This window comes from Homo sapiens, chromosome 15 (genome assembly GCF_000001405.40).
Source record: "Homo sapiens chromosome 15, GRCh38.p14 Primary Assembly".
Classification (NCBI taxonomy): domain Eukaryota; kingdom Metazoa; phylum Chordata; class Mammalia; order Primates; family Hominidae; genus Homo; species Homo sapiens.
In genome coordinates, this window is record NC_000015.10 from 28818841 (window position 1) to 28840103 (window position 21263).

Sequence of the window (21263 nt, forward strand, 5' to 3'; positions counted from 1 at the left end):
ACATTACTCTCTGGATTAAAAAATTGTTCTTGTTCATTACTTGTATTTGTTCTTTGCTTATAGTTTTACAATGAGTTGACTGAAATCCTGGTCAGGTTCCAGAACAAATGCAGCGATATAGTTTTGGCATGGAAGACAGAAAGAGATGAACTCTTAAAGTAAGTCTGTTTTGTGTATCAAATTGTACTTAAGAATTTTCTTTTAAAAAATCATGTGGAGACTTTTGGTGTGAACTTGGTAGTATGAGAGCAGTTTCCCTCCTTTTCTCATGGAAGAAGGAACTAGATAGAGTATTTTACAAAGCAACAAGTAAACAGCTGCACAGTCTGGGAATGAAAGGATGAAAAGAAGCAGAAACTCTAGATGCAGGAAGTACAGTGAGGTCACAGAAATGATAAAACAGTTCAGGTGGCAGATCTCAGGAAGTGCCAGTAAATACAAGCAATTTATTTTGAAGTGGCAAATAGGTTCCTTACATAAAACTAGAGCTATAGAACATGGAGGAGACGCCGTGAATAGCTCAGAGAATACCAGCAAAATCACTTTCAGAGGAGGCTGCTGAGAAAGCAGGGCCAGTTAACATACGACTCATTTCCTGCTGAGTAATCAACACGGAGTAGCACAGCGCTGATAAAAGGTGAAAAACATTAACAAAATTTAATAAAACTTCATAGATGAAGAATATTTACCAAAATAATATTGTCACAGAATAGGTGAAAATTATGAGCAAACGTCTGACCATGAACTAAACAAAAAGAACAACAACAACAAATGTAAGAAGGCAGTCATTCTAAGGCCGGGGTCCCCAGTCCTGGGGCCATGGACTGGTACTGGTTCGTGGCCTGTTAGGAACTGGGCTGCACAGCAGGAGGTGGGTGGCAGACAGGCCGGCGGCTGGGCGAGTATTACTGCCTGAGCCCCACCTCCTGTCAGGTCAGCCTCAGCATTAGATTCTCATAGGAGCGCAAACCCTATTGTGAACTGCCCGTGTAAGGGATCTAGGTTGTGCGTTGCTTAGGAGACTCTGACTAATGCCTGATGATCTGAGGTGGAACAGTTTCATCCTGAAATCATCTTCCGCTCCCCTGTGGAAAAATTGTCTTGCATGAGACCGGTCCCTGATGCCATAAAGGTTTGGGGACTGCTCCTCTAAGGAACACTTGGAGCAGAAATTCCAGAACTGCAGGAATATGGTAAGAAAACAGGAAGTGGTAAGATGTGAGGTGTCAGAATTCAGGAAAGAAGTAGAAGGGAAGAATCAAACCACGACATGGGAAAGAGCACAAAGGGCGAGTAAACACTGAAGAACACACAGGAACACAGAGTAGAAATGAGGAAATTAAAATGAAACCAAAGTCAAGAAAGAATGAGAAAGGATTAGAGAGAAGATGGGCACAGAAGATCTAATATGGGCAAAACTGAATTTCTCTCAAAGAAGAAAAACCAGACAGAACAGTTATTTAACTTTCTGTAAACAGAGCACTTATTTCATGATACTCAAGAACATTTTCTTAAAACAAGTGAAGGTTGTTGAAAGAGGATATCACATGGTAGGGGAAATTGATCAAGAACTGTCAGCATCAAGGCATATAAATTATTGGCCTTAAAAGGTAATGGCAGAATCCTTTAGGCAGTCAGGCAAAACAATCAAACCAGTATATAAAAAGGTGAAAAAAATTAGGCTGGCAGCTCTGTATGCCAGAAGAGAGTGGAGTGATTGCTGTAATCTCAAGGATAGTAAATATGAGCTAAAGATTTTATATCATATAGTAAATACATGCTAAAGATTTTATATCCAAACTGTCCTTCGGGTGCATAAAAAGCCATATATTCATTAGTAATAAATATAAAGAGCTGAAAGAGTCTTATACCGATGACCCTTTCAGCCAACTAGATCTTTATTCATCTCTCTGTTCATGTTCATGTTCATTCACCTCTCTGCTCATGTTCATGAGAGAAGTTATTTTCTTCTACCTCTAAGAAAGAGCAGGTGAGTTGTTTTTAGAATATTTCTACTAAACCTATAAAAAGCAAATAATTAGAATGTTTTAAAAATGGTTCTAAATGTTTTAAAAAAGGTGACTTTTTTTTAGATAGAGTTTTGCTCTGTCGCCCAGGCTGGAGTGCAATGATGCAATCTTCGCTCACTGCAACCTCCGCCTCCCGGGTTCAAGCAATTCTTCTGCCTCAGCTTCCCAAGTAGCTGGCATTACAGGTGTGCACCACCACGCCTGGCTAATTTTTGTATTTTTAGTAGAGACAGGGTTTTGCCATGTTGGCCAGGCTGGTCTCGAACTCCTGACCTCAGGTGATTGGAATTACAGGTGTGAGCCACCCCCCCAGCCTAAAAAAAGATGAGTATTCTCCATATTAGTCTTAAAGATAAAAAAAACCTAACAAAGATTAATACAAAACAGTCTACAGACCAGTTTCAGTTATGAATATGGATGCAAAAGTCCTAAATAAAGTATTTGCCAGTAATAGTCACCAGGACGTTAAAAAATAATTATTGACCAAGGGGAGGGGGGCATTTATTCCAGTATTCAGTATTCAGTGTTTTCATGTCAAAGGAAAGATTACAGGCTTGTCTTAATAGATGAGGCAGAAGCATTTAAGAAAATGAGTGTTCTGATACTCAGTAAAATAAGAATAGATAGAAGATAGATGCTTCCGTAACATGAAAAAATATATATGTATGTGTGTGTATATATTTCTGCCCAAAACTCAGTACAGTGATTAATGGAGAAGCACTATAAACAGTTCCCTCTGAAGTCAAGAACAGACAACAAATGTCACTGTCAGCACTATTTTTAAATACTATACTGCAGTACCAGCCAAGACAATCACGTGAGAGAGAAATTTAAAAATTGGAAAGGAAGAAGTAAAACTAGCACTATTTACAGACATTATGATTGTACAACTACTTGAAAACCCAAGAGAACCCCAAAACTCTGCAAATAATAAAATAATTATTACTGAAGTTGTTGATCATAAAAATAATTTGTAGAAATCAGTGGCTTTCATGTAAATAAACCTATAGAGGATAAGATGAAGAGACCCACTTACGGTAGCAACAAAAAGGATAAAATATAAAATATAAGTTTGTCATATATGAGACCTGTGTGAAGAAAAAACTATTTCAAGGACACAAAAGAAGGCTTGAGCAAGTTAAAAAGCATGTTCTTGGATAGGATGACTCAACTTCATCAAGATGTCAACTCTCAGTTAACTTATGTATCAACTGGGCGTGATGGCATGCACTTCTAGTCCCATCTACTTGGGAGATTGAAGTGGGAGGATGGTTTGAGCCCTGGAATTCTAGGTTGTAGTGCGCTATGATTGTACCTATAAATAGCCACGGTACTCCAGTCTGGGCAGCAGTGAGACCCTATCTCTAATAACAAACATAAATAAAGAAATAAACATATACGGCCGGGCGCAGTGGCTCACGCCTGTAATCCCAGCACTTTGGGAGGCCGAGGCAGGCGGATCACGAGGTCAGGAGATCGAGACCATCCTGGCTAACACGGTGAAACCCCGTCTCTACTAAAAATAAAAAAAATTAGCCGGGCGTGGTGGTGGGCGCCTGTAGTTCCAGCTACTCGGGAGGCTGAGACAGGAGAATGGTGTGAACCCGGGAGGCAGAGCTTGCAGTGAGCCGAGATCGTGCCACTGTACTCCGGCCTGGGCGACACAGTGAGACTCCGTCTCAAAAAAAATAAATAAATAAAAAGAAATAAACATATGCATTCAACATGCTTTTGATTAAAAAAAAATCAGCTTTTCATTTGGAATTAGACAAGTTGATCCTAAAGTTCAAGTAGAAAAAGAAACAAGGTCAGCCAGGAAAACAATAAAAAGAGTAGTGAAGGGATACTAGTTCTACCAGATAATAAGGTATATAATACCATCTTTAATTAAAACACAGTGGTACTGGTACATGATTAGACAAAGACAGAATAGAAAATAGAAATAGATTCAAATACATGTGTGAATTTAGTGTAAAAGATCTTCAACCAACCAGAAGAGGTTGTAGTCAACTGCCCAGCCATTTAGAAAATAAAAGTTATCTTTATACCAGAGTAAGTTCTGAGTGGACCAAACTTGAAATTTGTAAATGAAATATAAAGTATAAAATAGAATGGAGGAGAATTCCTTAATAAAGCTGGGATGGGCAGGATCTAATAACTCCTACTTAAAATCCAGAAGCCATTAAAAAAAAGAAAAGAATAAGTTTCTCATAGAAATATGATAAACAGAGTCAGGATATGACAAATTGGGGATCCAATATTTGAAACTTATTCACAGGCAAAAGGCTAATTTACTTTATTTAGAAAAGAACTCCTAGAAATGAACAAGAAGAAAACCCAATAGACAACTGAGGAAAAGACGCAAATAGAATTTTGCAGACAAGGAAATACAAATAGCTCTTAAATAAATGAAAAAAAATGAATACCCTCATTCATTATAAAATACAAATCAAAATTAGTCTGAAGTAATATTTTTCAGATTGGCAAGAATCTGAAAGTTTGTTTAAAGCCTGTTCTGGGTCTTCCACATTCATTATTCTCTACGGTCAATCACATTCCAAGGATTGTTGCCTCCAATGCATGCCTTTTTCTCAATTTTATTTTCTCCCATCAGAGTCATGCACAGATTAGCTCCCAAGTGAGCTATTATAATGGCCTCCTAGCATCTAAACTCTCCTTTTTTCCAATTGATAGTTCTGCCAGAGTTGTCTTCTTAAAGCAGAGGTTAGACCGCATTTCTCTTAAGTAAATTCCAATGACACCAAAACAGTGATTCTTAATAAGAATTACAAGTAGGGAAATACAGATGGGAGAGTTTGCTTAGTAAATAAGTTCATAAAATCTAGGTTAAACAAAGTTAAATGGGGTTTGCTTTTTGCTGTTGCTTTGTTAATGTGCATTTGAAATTTCTAAAGTGGCATTACATATCCATAATTTCCCTTATCTATTTGACAAAGGAATCTGGTTTGTTTAGAAGCATTTTTTCAGAACTGTGATAGGTCAACCTTTCAGAAATTCCTCATTATCAACAGTCAAATCCAGATGTATTTTCTTTGGCTCTCACAACAGGCTTAGAGGAATTTCTAGTCTGTTCTCCTGATGTTTCATTATGTGCATCTTTTGCTTAGGCCTGTTAAACCTACTCAATGTGTGTATCTTCTACTCCATGTCTTTATTCCTACTGTTGTCTTAACAGGAAATCCTTGCAACCCAATTCATAGTTTTTGTTCTTTGGAAAAATCCAAATCATGTATCATGAATACATATTTTTTCTCTATTGGGATTTGCCTGTTTTTATGTATCACAGCCAGAAGTAATCACTGCATAGTGTATTTCTGTAGAAAGATAGAAGAGTTCTATTTTAACACAATATTTCCTATATACCCAGCAAAGGTCTAGGTATTTATACATACTATTGTATTTATTCATCTCATCAATGCAATGAAGAAATATTAATAAATCCATTATATATGCTAAAAGGTAGCGACACATATATGCTACATGTGCAGGTTTTCTCAGGTATTATTAGCTAGGGAAGCTGTGTTGTAACAATCTTCAAAAACTTCTTTCTATTGTTTACATGCTATTCCACATCATTTTGTTTTCATTTCTTTTGTAGTATCTAATGTATTCTACTAAAAAAAAAAGTAGAGTAGTTGGAAAACTTGTGAAAAAAACATATGTATTACATATATACCATTCTTCATGATTCTCAAAATTTTCATCATTATTAATGTTTTGTGTATATATATATATATATTGTGTGTGTATGTATGCATGTTAGATATATAATTTAAAAGAAAACAATAAGTTGGTGGCTTATGGCAAATTGTTCCTTAAGTCCTGCATTTGAAACATAGACACTGAGTGAATCAGCACATTTGATCATCTTTTAACTACAATAGATGATTATACATTAAAAATACATTAACCATCCAAATACATCTTTTTTCTTATTTATGTATGTATGTATGTATGTATGTATGTATGTATTTTTATTTTTTTGAGATGGAGTCTCTTTCTGTCGCCCAGGCTGAAGTGCAGTGGCGCAATCTCAGCTCACTGCAAGCTCCACCTCCCAGGTTCCCGCCATTCTCCTGCCTCAGCCTCCCGAATAGCTGGGACTACAAGCGCCCGCCACCACGCCTAGCTAATTTTTTTGTACTTTTAGTAGAGATGGGTTTTCACCACGTTAGCCAGGATGGTCTCGATCTCCTGACCTCGTGATCCGCCTGCCTTGGCCTTCCAAAGTGCTGGGATTACAGGCCTGAGCCTCGGCGCCCGGCCCAAATGCATCTTTAGGAAAATTATATTTAAGCTCTTCATGGAGACATTAAAAAACCAAGCTGCATTAATAATAAATAATTATATCATTCATTAGTAAGGAGTAAATAGCTGTTTTCTATTTGAGAAGTATTAATTGGATTGTCCATCTGTATGCAGGAACATCTGTTTTCTGACATGCTTTAATCACCATTTGTTTTGTACTTGTACCATAATTACACTTGTTTGTAATATTGAACCGAGACAATGATTAAAATCAACTTATGAATACGATTCTTTTATGCTTTTGTATTTCATTAGAAAATGTGTAATTCTGGTATGACATTTATAAGTATATATAAAAGAAAGTATTTGATTAACAAAATGCCTCAACAGATTATGTCAGTAAAATGAGTGTTATATCATGCAGTCTATGTTACTATTTTGGCATTTTTAAGGAAAGTTTATTGCTTCACGGAAGCTTTTTTTTAACTGACCATCTATGAATTTTCTGTATTCTTTATTTCATTGTGATCACATGGTCATAGAAGAGACATTTTTAGATCATCAGAAGTTGACAGTTTTCAGTGTAGTGTATGTGCTTAGTATAAGATGGAATTAAGTTTGTTGTATGGGTGATTGATGAATTTTTACTGAATCATGGATAACTGCTGTTCTATTAATGACATTTCATCAATTAACTCTTTTGGATATGGTTTATCACAAAATGTTGCTGATTTAATGTTTGTGGATTAACTGAGGTGAAAGTGATACCTGGTAGAAGTTTCATTAATACAAATTTTCCTCTCTTAGGAGTAGGATGGATTATATTATTTGTCGAAATGCCTTTGCATGTAAGTTCTTAACTGTCAGCTTTCTTGTCCTGTGAATCATATCTTTTCTGTATTTGCTGAAATAGAGACTTAACATTGTTAAATGATTTTTCCATGTCATGGAAAATGTATGCCTCTAAATCTGCGTTCCTTCCTACAAATTACAAGTTCAAAATGACTTTTTTTAAGAAACAAAAAAAAAAGATGGATTTCTCGTATTTTGTGGCAGGATAAGCTCCCTGTAGCCTATCTTAAATGTTGATTACGACTAAAACTATGAAAAGTACAATAAGCAACTAACTGAGGAATCTGAAAAGTAAATAAAAGTAGAATTATGAGTGATAGGCAAAATCTGGAGAAGCACCCTGCAGTAGTGTGAGCTTCCATTGTTGTATTTCTTTCAATCAAAACCAAAACAAACAAACAAAACAAATAAAAACCAGAAAAGAACCACCACCAACAAGAAAACACTCAAGGAAAATAGATATTGTGATAGAAACAGCAGAAATGTCGAGAAACAAAACCAGAAGGTTAGAATTATTAGAGAAAATAATATAAAAAGTAATTTTAAATATCTAAACAAAATTTTAAAAAGGAATTTAAAAAAATAAGCAAGGAGAAGACAATAAAAATAGGTTGATAATTCATTTGTTAGCATTTGTCTGTTTGGTATTTGTTGACCATTTTATTTTTAAAAAATTTGGCTATATTTGCTTTTGGTGTATTTCTTGTATATGTATTGTAAAATTTAGTATTTATTATTATTAAATATTTTATATTGTTAAATGATAATTTATTTTTATTGATAAGAAAGATGTAGTTTTCTGGTTGTTATTTTTGTAATTTTACCTGCATTTATATTTTTCTCCATTTATTTAGATAATACCTAATGGTTCCCCACAATGAGTGGCAATTAAATTAGACTCTGTGCTATTTTCACTTTCTCAACTTCTCCTGAACTATTTGATTTTTGTGGCAGGATATTTCTTAATATTTGCCTTTGTGCCACTTAATGTTTTCATACTATTATGGGCAAATTTTGAGATTTAAAATGAACCCATTACTCTCAGCTATTATAGACGAGGCAATCAGGGAGCTAATTCCTACTTTCCCCTTTCTTTTACTCTCTCCTCCTGGTTGTTACAGTTGAATCATTTGTACATTATCAGAATCATCAGTAAAATATCTTTTTACATCTTCTACACCATGTATCCCTTAAATCTATATATGACGCATTGAATGCTTACCTCTTGCCTTACTGGTAGTATTTTACCTACTCAGAACTAGGTTGATTGAACTTTGTCCTGTGGTAACTCTCTTAATAAGAACTTTCTGTAAAGTGTTCCCTGAATTATGGGTGCTTATAACTGTACACTTTATAGCTGATAGATATCTTGCAAGGATAAGGATAACCATTTGCTTCTCCCTTCTCTTCTTTCTCAATATTTCCCCCCATTTTCTGGTGTTAACTTTTGCTGTGGAAAACTCTGATGCCAAAATGATTTTCTTTTTCTCTAAGTTGACAATTTTTGCTTAAGCCCTCACATAATGCTTTCTTAATCTTTAAAGTCCTAGTCCCATACACAGATATATCTTGGTGTTGAACATTCTAATAACATACATAAGCATATACTACACAGTAATGTAAATATATGTGCTTATGATGATCTATCTTGTCTTAATATAGGCAATAACTTTTTTCTAATTCTATCCTATGTTTTACAGTTTTTGGATTTTTGGACGGGGAGAGGACTTACTACATATTCTTCTCTCACACCCTTTACGACCCTTACATTATTTGGGGTTCAGTCTCCCTTGTTCTCTTTACAATTTAGTTTTTTTTTTTTTTTCTACAATGATTTTGTTTTTAAATCCTATTTCTTTCATGGATTCTGCCAGTTGCTATTGCACTTTCTGGCTATCTCTTCCCCATTCTCTTGCATTTCACTTCATGGTCTCTTTATGTTTTATTACACCCTTAAAATTTATGTTGGAATGTATAAATGTTCATTCCTTTTTTCATCTGTTTTGTAGCAACATGTTTCTAGTTATTACAAGAGTTGATATATTCCTTTTTTATCTTTATTCTTAAGAGTATTTTTATGTGAATGCTGAGAAAATTCCTTTAGTATTTCTCATATGTGAAAGTTGAATTTCCTACAGGACAAAGGAAAGGGGTTGTAGAATGTGCCCCAGCCTGCTAGCTCAAGGGCCCTCTCATCATTTGCTACAGTGACAGACTGTTGCCTCATTTTGGGGACATTATGGAGTCACCGCTCGTTCTCCATAAGAGCATAAATGATTACCAGGTAGTTGTTACTGTCTTCTCTCCTTGATACTCATACATAACTCATAGCACATATGGAAGCAACCTTCTAAATACCCATGTTTTATCTTTAAAATGTTCTTTGTGTGTAGCTGCCCATTTGTTTTGTGCTAACTGACTGACCCTATTACCTTCAGTTGTAACAACCCATTTAAGGTAGAAACGAAGGACACTCATCTCCATGTGTTTTCAGAATTTAAATGAAAAAATAAAAAGAGGCTGATGTCACTTCCCAGTTTAACGCAGGGGTTTTATTTATTTATGTACACTCAATCAAACTATGACTATTACAAATGGTTTTACCGCTACAATAAAGATAGTTAATTCATAACTCAATAAAAATGAAGAGTGAAAGATTAAAAAAGGAAAGCAACAATTCTAAACTATAAAATCTACTTCAGAAAGCTACATACAGCAAAGCTCAATAAATAAATTATGAAAAAAAGAATAATATGGGATAAGTTTTATGGTTTAGGAGATACCTTCCTATAAGCCAAAAACCTAAAAAAAAATGCTAAAGGTATAGCTTGCTATAGTACGTGGTAGGAGAAATTAACATGTATAAAATCAATAACACTCACATTATGTGATAGTCTACAGCCAAAGAATAATAGAAAGCAAGTGAAATGCTTAGCATAGCTATTTAGTCTACTAAATTAGGTTTGTGAAAATGGGAATGCCAAATGCCTTAAGGCTTATGGCAGGTGCAAAAGCAAAACATCAGAGGTCAACCTAAGGATATTTTTAATATAAAATTAATGTACCTGCATTGTAAGCATTATTTTTTTTGTATGGTAGAAAGGAAAAAATTCTTGTATTATTCTACTATAAATGTGTATTCTTTGCTCTACTAAATTTGCATGTCATCGTCAGCCTTTCACTTTGTCTTCAGCTAACAAGAACCTCTTGGGTTCATCCTTTGGAGAACCTGATATGGAAAATGGACTGAACTAGGAGAAGAGCCTTTGTTTAGACCACATGCTGAGGTCTAGTGGCTTCAATTAAAAATATATAAATGTGGCCGGGCACAGTGGCTCACGCCTGTAACTCCAGCACTTTGGGATTCTGAGGCGGGCAGATCACGAGGTCAGGAGTTCAAGACCAGCCTGACCAACGTGATGAAATCCCGTCTCTACTAAAAATACAAAAATTAGCTAGGCATGGTGGCACGTGCCTGTAATCCCAGCTACTCAGGAGGCTGACGCAGGAGAATCGCTTGAATCCTGGAGGCGGAAGCTGTAGTGAGCCAAGATCATGCCATTGCACTCTAGCCTGGGACGACAGAGCGAGACTCCGTCTCAAAAAAAAAAAAAAATTATGTATATATATATATGCTTAATCTCTAAGCTTTGGAAGGAACAGCCTATCTACAGAAAAATTTAAAACTTGGTCATGACAGGTACAGAGTTGGGCCCCATTAATTTTGTTGACATTGAGGTCAGCAGATTCTGTAAATTTTCACTATACCTCTCATATGATCTGCCGCCACACCATTCATACTCTTAACTTTATTTCTCCTCACACCAGTAAATTACTAAAACTGCCAAGTTTTTTTTTCACAAATTAATATCTTTAGCATTCTCCTCCTTCAGCCTGCAATGAAATTATCTACTCCCCTCCCTCCTCCTTCCTCCTTGACTCCCGCTAATGCACATTTGTGTTTGGTTTCCACACCAAATGAGCTACCTTCAATAAGCATCCCACAACTCCACAGGGAACTTTTGTTTCTCTACCTTCTGTGCTGTCAAAGCGCTTGGCTCAGAATGAGAGATCTGTCTGCATTTCAGATCTACAAATTACTCATTGTGTGACCTTGGACATATCCCTAATATTTTTGAGCCTCAGTTTCTCAAAAATTAGAATAAAGATACCAAACTCCTGGGGTTTTGTGAGAGTAAAATGAGACGATGTGTGTAAGAGACTCAGTGCAGTGTCAGTATCTACCATGTGCTATGCACTCTGCGTTTTCTTTTTCTTTTTTTTTTTTTTGAGACGGAGTCTCGCTCTGTCACCCAGGCTGGAGTGCAGTGGCGTGATCTCGGCTCATTGCAACCTCTGCCTCTTGGGTTCAAGAGATTCTCCTGTCTCAGCCTGCGAGTAGCTGGGACTACAGGCCCATGCCACCACGCCTGGCTAATTTTTGTATTTTTAGTAAAGACAGCGTTTCACCATACTGGTCAGGCTGGTCTTGAACTCCTGACCTCAGGTGATGCACCCACCTCGGCATCCGAAAGTGCTGGGATTACAGGTGTGAGCCACCATGCCCGGGCCAACCCATAGCCTTTTGGTCTTCTCTCAGCCAAGGCATCCAGTGAAAATGCAATTTATTTTTCAGATTCCTCTGGAGAATTAAAAAGTCTCTTTTGCGGCTGGACACAGCAACTCACACCTGTAATCCCAGCACTTTGGGAGGCTGAGGCAGGCAGATCACAAGGTCAAGAGATCGAGACCATCCTGGCCATGGCCAACATGGTGAAACCCTGTCTCTACTAAAAATACAAAAATTAGCTGGGTGTGGTGGCACAGGCCTATTGTCCCAGCTACATGGGAGGCTGAGGCAGGAGAATTGCTTGAACCCAGGAGGCGGAGGTTGCAGTGGGCCAAGATTGAGCCACTGCACTTGCTCTGGTGAAAGAGCAAGACTCCGTCTCAAAAAAAAAAAAAAAAAAAAAAAAAAAGTCTCTTTTGCATCAAATTGCCATACTCTCTGCTCTTGGTCCTCTTTTCCATGTACTCATTCTTCAAGCATTTATTTTCTCATTGCCTGATCCAGATCATTGCAATGACCAAAAAATTTTCGAATGCTATGATTTTTGTGATATTCTTTTAGCAAGTTAATCACGATGTTGCATTCTTGAGTGTGCAAGTGTGGAGGTAAGTCAGGATGCATCTTTAAGACAAAAAGATGGGTCACGGCAGTGCCACACCACTCACGGCCACACCAGGAGAGCTGAAGGGGCAGTCACCAACGAAGATGCCTGACCCAGAAGCTGGCTGCCAGGGAGCCAAGAGCCAGGTCACTCCACAGGTGGCCAATGCCCGGGGGTGGCCCTCCACCGCCGAAGCTGCTGCTGCTGCTGCTGCTGCTGCTTATTATTATTTTGAGACGGAGTCTGGCTCTGCCTCCCAGGCTGGAGTGCGGTAGCACGATCTCGGCTCACTGCAACCTCCGCCTCTGGGGTTCAAGCGATTCTCCTGCCTCAGCCTCCCGAGTAGCTGGGACCACAGGCACGTGCCACCTCACCTGGCTAATTTTATTTTTTGAATAGACAGGGTCTTGTTATGTTGCCCAGGCTGGTCTTGAACTCCCGGGCTCAAGCGATCCTCCCACTTCAGCCTCCCAAAGTGCCAAGACTACAGGTGTGAGCCACCACACCTGGCCAAGTTCTACTTTTCTAATATTTAAAATATGAAATAGGCCGGGCACGGTGGCTCACACCTGTAATCCCAGAACTTTGGGAGGCTGAGGCGGGCAGATCACCAGAGGTCAGGAGTTCGTGACCAGCCTGGCCAACATGATGAAACCCCGTCACTACTGAAAGTACAAAAATTAGCCGGGTGTGGTGACAGATGCCTGTAATCCCAGCTACTCGGAAGGCTGAGGCACCTAAACCCGGGAGGTGGAGGTTGTAGTGAGCCGATACCATGCCACTGCACTCCAGTCTCGGCGACGCAATGAGACTCTGTCTCAAAAAAAAAAATAGATGATGTCAGTGATTTCTATTACATGAGATCTGGAAGCACTCTGTACCTGATTGCTCCACGTTTAGTGGTGCTAAGTTCAAATAATTCAGGTGGTGAGAAACTGACTTCCGTAGGAGTGCGGGTGTGCGTGCGTGCCGCGGAAATCCCGCCTTCTGGCGCCTGCGGTTGCCCCCTGGCCTCAGCCGGTAGGCTCCCAAGTAGGAAGATAAACCGCATTGCACGAAGCGGGAGAGTCCAGAGGAGCGGCGAAGCGCTCCTCTTCCCCATTGGCTGCGCCCACGGAGCCGCCTTGCGATTGGCCCTAAGCGCGGGTGGCTGGGGTTGCGAGAGGCATCAGGATCCCTGGCGGCGCCTGAGCCAGCGGCTGCTAGGAGGCTGTGTCCGCAAGCCAGCGGGGCGAGGCGCCTGGGCCCTGCGCGTCAGGTCCCGGCCTGGGGCACCGGGGCTGCCAGCGTCGGAGGAGGTGCGGGCGCGGGGTTGGCGGGCGGCCGAACGGGGGCCTGCGCGGACCGCCCGCGGCTCAGCCTCCGGTCTCTCTCCGTCTCTAAGTGGTGGTGGCTGTGGGTTTTTCTGCAGGTGATCCTTTTGAGTAATTTGTTTCACGCAGGCGCCCTGCTGTAGGGTAAAGCGGCAGATTCATGCTGCTGTCATTTGTCGTTCAAACTGTGGGCTTCTTGGCCAGGCGCGGTGGCTCAAGCCTGTAATCCCAGCACTTTGGGAGGCCGAGGCGGGCGGATCACGAGGCCAGGAGATCGAGATCATCCTGGCTAACACGGCGAAACGCTGTCTCTACTAAAAATACAAAAAATTAGTTGGGCGTGGTGGTGGGCGCCTGCAGTCCCAGCTACTCGGGAGGCTGAGGCAGGACAATGGTGTGAACCCGGGAGGTGGTGCTTGCAGTGAGCTGAGATTCCGCCACTGCACTCAAGCCTGGGTGACAGAGGGAGACTCCATCTCAAAACAAAACAAAAAACGATGGGCTTTCTGTCGTGTGTGTGTACCTTTTGGATTTGAGGGCAGGGGGATGACATTGTGATCTGGCCTCCTGAGAAACCAGGCACACCCTGCCTACCTTGGAAGGCGGCTTTCCCTTCCCCACCTCCCTCTCCCTCCATCTGTTCCCTCTTTCCCTCTCTCCACTTCACTCCCGTCCCCCAGCTCTTCTCTCCCATCTTTTTGTTCTCTGTCTCTTTTTTTTTTCCTGCATTAAACCTTTCGGGAGTGTCTTTGTAAAATATTAAGAAGCGTTAGGTCTTCAACATGTGTGTTTACTTGCAGGCCTGAGACCTGGGAGGAAGCTGGAGAAAAGATGCCCTCTGAATCTTTGTGTTTGGCTGCCCAGGCTCGCCTTGACACCGAATGGTTGAAAACAGATATACAGGTGGGGTTTGACATGTCTCTTTCTTGGTGTATTTCTGCTTCCATGTTTAAATTTCTCGTGTAAGGCTTTTTTTTAGGGTATGTAAGGGGAAGTCAGTTGTATCTTGCTATATTAGAGGAGCAGGTTTGTTTCCTGTAACTTAAAATGTAACAGTCTTTATGGCTGTTTTTGTAGATCGTGCGCGGCTGCCTTTTAATTAGTTTCTTGCAAGTGCAGGAAATGAGATTTATTAATAGGGAAAATTTTTTTCTTAATTATTATTACTGGTTGAGAAATCTGCTACACTCCTAACCATATCATGGTGACTGTTGTTTGTTACTGATAGTTTTTGAGCTGTTGAGTTAACTGTCGAGGGGAAAATTGGAGAAGTAAGTTGCAGTAATTATGGCTGCTAGAAACTCACTCCTTTTATGAGGTCTTGTGTTTGTGTTTCTGGAGAGAAAAGAGTTAGTTCAGTTGAGCTGTTTGTTTTGTATTTGTAACCAATACAAGGACTAAGGACAATTGTGTTGAAACTGAGGTCATAATGTTGGGATCTTAAGGGCCGAAGGTTCCAAACAAATGGTATGTATAGAGTTCTCTCTGACTTGAAATTTTCCCTTTCTGGACCTCCGGATGCTGAGGCTGGGAGTGTCCATATGACAGTGCCTTCCATGACAGGAGTCAGCAACCTTTTTTTTTTTTTTTTTTTAACACGTATCAGTAATTCATTCTGTATATTTTGAAAAGTTTTAACCTCTTCTTCCTAGCCCTCCAGTATTTGTTAATAAATTAAAACGTTTCCCAAAGTGTTTTTTGTGAAACAATAATTCTAAAAGATGCTCTAAGAAAAGCTAAGTACATGGAAAAATCCAAAGTGTATATTTTATTTATTACATTTCATGAATTTTTGTTTCTGTTTTTTCCTCTTGAGAGGGAGTCTTGCTCTGTCTCTCAGGCTGGAGTGCAGTGGCATGATCTTGGCTCACTGCAACCTCCGCCTCCTGGGTTCAAGCAGTTCTCTGCCTTAGCCTCCAGAGTAGTTAGGATTACAGGTGCCCTCCACCACGGCCAGCTAATTTTTGTATTTTTAGTAGAGACAGAGTTTCACCATAGTGGCCAGACTGGTCTTGAACTCCTGACCTCATGATCCACCCTCGGCCTCCCAAAGTGCTGGGATTACAGGTGTGAGCCACTGTGCCTGGACCACATTTGATGACTTTTTTTGTCCTTTGTTCTTTTAAAAATCATGGTTAGAAAGCAGAGCATAATTGTTCTTTATGTAGAATCCAACTGATTGGGGTTTTTAGGGAGATGTTTTGACATTCAGTAAATGTTTTTGTTTTCCATTATTAAGACTATGAATTTTTTATTTTACTTTCTGAGACAGGGTCTTGCTCTGTTGCCCAGGCTGGAGTGCAGTGGCGTGATCTTGGCTCACTGCAACCTCTGCCTCCTGGGTTCAAGCAGTTCTCCTGCCTCAGCCTCCTGAGTAGCTAGCATTAGAGGTGCCCGCCACCACTACCCTCCGCCTTTCAGGTTCAAGCGATCCTCTGCCTCAGCCTCCTGAGTAGCTGGGATTACAGGTGCACGCCAGCATGCCCGGCAAATTTTTGAATTTTTAGTAGAGACGAGGTTTCACCATGTTGGTCAGGCTGGTCTCGAATTCCTGACCTTGTGATCCACCCGCCTCGGTCTCCCAAAGTGCTGGGATTACAGGTGTGAGCCACATTTTTAGTAGAGATGGGGTATCACTATGTTGGCCAGGCTGCTGTGGAACTCCTGACCTCAAGTGATCCCCTCACCTTGGCTTCCCAAAGTGCTAGGATTACAGATGTGAGCTACCACGCCTAGCCGTATTTTGTATTTTTAGTAGAGATGGGGTTTTGCTGTGTTGGCCAGGCTGGTCTTGATCTCCTGGGTGCAAGTGATCCTCCCACATTGGCCTCTCAAAGTGCTGGGATTACAGGCATGAGCCACCACACCTGGCCAATGGGAGGTCTCGCTTCCCTTCTCTGCAGCATTCCATAAGCAATGTGTTTGGGTAGTATGTGTTCGATTTTCTCTATGTATACTTTGAACCCTACAGTAGTGAAAGGAAGAGTAGACAACTTTGAAGTTGATGTGGTGTGGTCTTTGAGCTGGTGGTGCTAATTACTCTTGGTTGTTTTCGTGGCCTCCAGTGACTTCATCCTGCTTTTGCTGTTGTAAAGTGTTGTAATTTATGCTCCTGAGAATAACTCTTGAGGTGTACTTAGGGTTCTTGTCTGCTTCCTGGTGACTGTCGAAGCTTTTCATCTTGAAGAAGGGAGATGAGCAGTGTTCCAGTGTACTGAGATTAAAATTAAGAATGTTGCATTTTTTTAATATGTAAAATTTATAGCCAGCTGTAGGGTAGGGGTGGCCTACTTTCTCTAAAGGGCCAGATAGTAAATATTTTAAGGTCTCACTGGACCCTATGGTCTCTGTCATAGCCATGAGACCTTGCAGATTTAGTGCCAAAGTAGCCACAGACAATACCACGTCAGCGGGCAGGGGACGTTCATTCTGTAAAGTGTATTTATGGACACCAAAAGATGAAGTCCACAGAATGTTTGCAAGTCACAAAATACTGTTTTTCTTTTGATTGTTTTTCAGTTATTAAAAAATATAAAATACAGTGGCCGGGCGTGGTGGCTCACATCTGTAATCCCAGCACTTTTAGAGGCTGAGGCAGGCGGATCACCTGAGGTCAGGAGTTCGAGACCAGCCTGGCCAACATGGTGAAACCCCATCTCTACTAAAAACAAAAAATTAGCCGGGCATGGTGATGCACGCCTGTAATCCCAGCTCCTCGGAGGCTGAGGCAGGAGAATCACTTGAACCTGGGAGAATCGTTTGAGCCTGGGAGGCAGAGGTTGTGATGAGCCAAGACTCTGTCTCAAAAGAACAACAAAAATAAAATACTTTCTCTGCGTTCAGACCATACACAAAGAGGCTGTGGGCTGGGTTTGGCCCCTGGGCTGTGGTTAGTGACCCCAAACACACACACACATACACACACGTAGGGCAGAGTCTGGCATTTAGAGCCAGCACCTGTGTTCTCACCTGAGCTGTGTTCCTGGCTGGGTTCTGCTGTGTATTCTGTGACCCAAGATGTCTATCTACCTTGGTAAACTGGAGACAACAAAGCCTGCCTCCTTCAAGGTTGTTTGTAAAGATTTAAAAGGGTAATGTATTGTTGTTAGGCCAGATGCTTTGCATAGTACATGTTAGGTTATTTTCACTTTTTTTTTTTTTTTTTGAGACAGAGTCCTACTCTGTTGTACAGGCTGGAGTCCAGTGGCGAGATTCCAGCTCACTGCAACCTCTGCCTCCCAGGTTCAAGCAATTCTCCTGCCTCAGCCTCTCGGGCTGCTGGGATTACAGGTGGCTGCCACCATGCCGGGCCAATTTTGATATTTTTAGTAGAGATCGGGTTTCACCATGTTGGCCAGGCCAGTCTCAAACTCCTGACCTCAAGTGATCCGCCCACCTCGGCCTCCCAACGTGGTGGGATTACAGGAGTGAGCCACCACATCTGGCCCATTTTCACTTTCCATTAGCTGCTTTTTTCCCCCATTCATTTCCTACCTTTCTGTGTATGATTTCTGAATTAAATGTATTTCATGTCTTAACCTTCTGAATTGTTTGTCCTCTCATTTTCCATGCTGTTAAGGAAAATAAGAGGCTAAGTGAGACGTATTAAATTTGCATGTAGTTTCTCAGATCAGGATAAATGCTCACCTGTTGCAGAACGGGACTCTGCTCTTGCTTCACCCAGGATGCCTTTCCTAGTTCCTTCCTAGAGTGGGGCCGCACCCTGCTCCAGCCCTCCAGACCCAGCTCCCTGCTCTGACATGATTCCACCAGACTGTATTCCAGCTGTCCTCCCTGGACCTAGATATTTTCCTTCTTCTTCTTTTTTTTTTTTTTTTTTTCCTGAGATGAAGTCTCACTCGGTGGTCCAGGCTGGAGTGCAATGGTGTGATCTCGGCTCACTGCAACCTCCGCCTTCCAGGTTCAAGCCATTCTCCTGCCTCAGCCTCCCAAGTAGCTGGGATTACAGGCACGTGCCACCAAGCCTGGGTAATTTTTGTATTTTTAGTAGAGACAGGGTTTCACCATGTTGGCCAGGCTGGTGTCGAACTCCTGACCTTGTGATCCACCCGCCTCGGCCTCCCAAAGTGCTGGGATTACAGGTGTGAGCCACCGCACCCCCCCAGCCAACATATTTTTATTAAAAAACTTATATGAAATTTATTTTATTGTGGTATGTAGTTCAGTAAATTTTGACCTCTATAGATTCATGTAACCCCCATCATCATCAGGATGGAGAATTTTCTTCACCCCAAAAGCTCCCTTGTGCTGCTCCTTTTTATCACGTGTTCCCTGGTCTCATACCCTGGCAACCACGGATCTGTTCTCCATCAGTATGGGGTATTCTTTTTGAGAATGTCATGTGAGTGGAACCATATTTTAAGTAACATTTTGAAACCATCTTCATTTACTCCCAGTTATATGTTTGAGATTTATGTGCTGTTCTGTGTATTAATAGTTCTTTTTATTGCTGAATGGTATTTCATCATTTGGATGTACCACATGGTGTTTATCCATTCTGCCATTGTAGGACCTTGTGGTTGTTTCCATTTTTCTTTCCCAATTGTAATCCTGCTGTGAGCATTACTATACAGATTTTATGTGAATATAGTTTCCATTTCCCTAGGATAAAGACCTAGTAGTGTGAAAGTTGGGTCATGTGCTGAACTGTTTTCCGAAGTGGCTGTTTTAGTTTGCATTCCCACTGGCAATCTGTCACGTTTCTGTTGCTCTGTGTCTTTGTTAGCACTTGGTGTTATCAGTGTTTTTTAGTTGAGCCATTCTAACAAGTCTAGTGGGATCTCATTGTGGTTTTAATTTGCACTTCCGTAATGGCTAAGAATGCTGAATATCGTGTTCTTCTTTGCCACTCTTGTATCCTCTGTGAAGTTTCTGTTCAGATCTTTTGCACGGAAAAAGCTGTATCATGGAACCAGTAAAATAACCAAGGAGAGGTTGATTAAAGTTCTGTTTATAACCCTAGAAGATTCCTGCCCTAGGGATATGGGATGGCTGAACGTAGGACACCGACACTGGACAGATGAAATAGCAGTTTATTAGTCACGCATGCTCACAGCCCTGGGGTGGGGGACACCGCATGCCATTCAGTTAATCATGTGTGTTGTAACTTTTCGGGGAGGGACATTTGCAGAGACTAATGGTATGACATTCTGAAAAGCGGTGACAGATTAAGAAATTTTTTAATTCTGCAGATGGTAGTGTCGAACCAAGTGGAACAAAGAAAGAAGATCTGAATGACAAAGAGAAAAAAAATGAAGACGAAACTCCTGCACCTGTATATAGGGCCAAGTCAATTCTGGAGACCTGGGTGTGGGTCAAGCAACCAGGTAATCTGAGTTTTGGCACTTTGGAAAGCTTGATCTGACGCTCCTTTTCTAAATAACTTGGATGGATTATTCGTATTTTTTGGTAACAATTTTAAAAAATGTAATTAAAAAAATTTAAATATCGTGGTAAAATATACATACCGTAAAACTTGCCATTTTAATCATTTTTATGTGTACAGTTCATTGGCATTAAGTATATTCACATTATTGCCCAGCCATCACCACCATCCATCTCTACAACTTTTGCCCTTTCTCCAACTGAAACTCCGTATCCATGAAACACTAACTCCTTCTGTCCCCAGGCAACCACCATTCTACTTTTGTCTCAGAATTTGACTACTCAAGGTGTCTCCTATAAGGGGAATCATACAGTATTTGTCCTTTTGTGACTGGGTTATTGAACTTCTTAGGTGTTTGGGGTTCATCCGCATGTGTCAGAATTTTCTTTTAAAGGCTCAATGCTATTCCATTATATATGTAAGCCACATGTTATCCCTTCATCAGTGGGCAATCAGGTTGCTTTCATCTCTTGACTGTTGTGAGTAATGCTGCTATGAACATTGGTTTACGAGTGTCTTGAGTGTCTGCTTTTAATTCTTTGTGTCTATACCTAGGAGTGGAATTGGTCAATAATGTGGAATGCTTACATATTTATTTTTTTTGAGATGGCATCTCGCTGTCACCCAGGCTGGAGTGCCGTGGCGCCGTCTCAGCTCACAGCAAGCTCCGCCTCTCGGGTTCACGCAATTCTCCTGCCTCAGCTTCCTGAGTAGCTGGGACTACAGGCGCCCGCCACCATGCCTGGCTAATTTTTTTGTATTTTTAGTAGAGACTGGGTTTCACCGTGTTAGCCATGATGGTCTCCATCTCCTAACCTCGTGATCCACCCGCCTCAGCCTCCCAAATTGCTGGGATTACAGGTGTGAGCCACTGCACCTGGCCAATAATGTGGTAGTTAGATTTATGTTTAACTTATTATTGTTGTTTTTGAGATTGGGTCTCACTCTGTCGCTCAGGCTGGAATGCGTTGATGTAATCATAGCTCACTGCAGCCTTGAACTCCTGGGCTCCAGTGACCTTCTTGCCTCAGCCTCTCAAGTAGCTAGGACTAGAGGCGCAGGGAATTTCTCATCTTCTCTCTACTGCCTCTGAGTTGGAGATGTCAGAGGGAGCCATGGCCCACTGTAAAGTAACACAATGTCCTCACCCACAGGGTTAGAACCCCTCTTCTGGTGGCAGCTCTGAGGGGAGCAGTCACATGTGGAGAGTGCAGGGCTCTGT

At 40.9% G+C, this 21263-nt stretch overlaps 2 pseudogenes across 1 annotated transcript in view; one reads left to right on the plus strand and one right to left on the minus strand.

The window, feature by feature from the left end:
* The window catches only part of PDCD6IPP2 (PDCD6IP pseudogene 2), a 66741-nt pseudogene that overhangs the window by 29007 nt on the left and 16471 nt on the right, over positions 1-21263 (plus strand). The window contains exons 10-12 of the transcript NR_037599.1: positions 64-158; positions 14436-14538; positions 19848-19982. The product of NR_037599.1 is annotated as a PDCD6IP pseudogene 2 (transcript). The remainder of the gene's footprint in view (positions 1-63; positions 159-14435; positions 14539-19847; positions 19983-21263) is intronic.
* LOC100129687 (C-X9-C motif containing 2 pseudogene) lies at positions 12126-12342 on the minus strand (annotated as a pseudogene).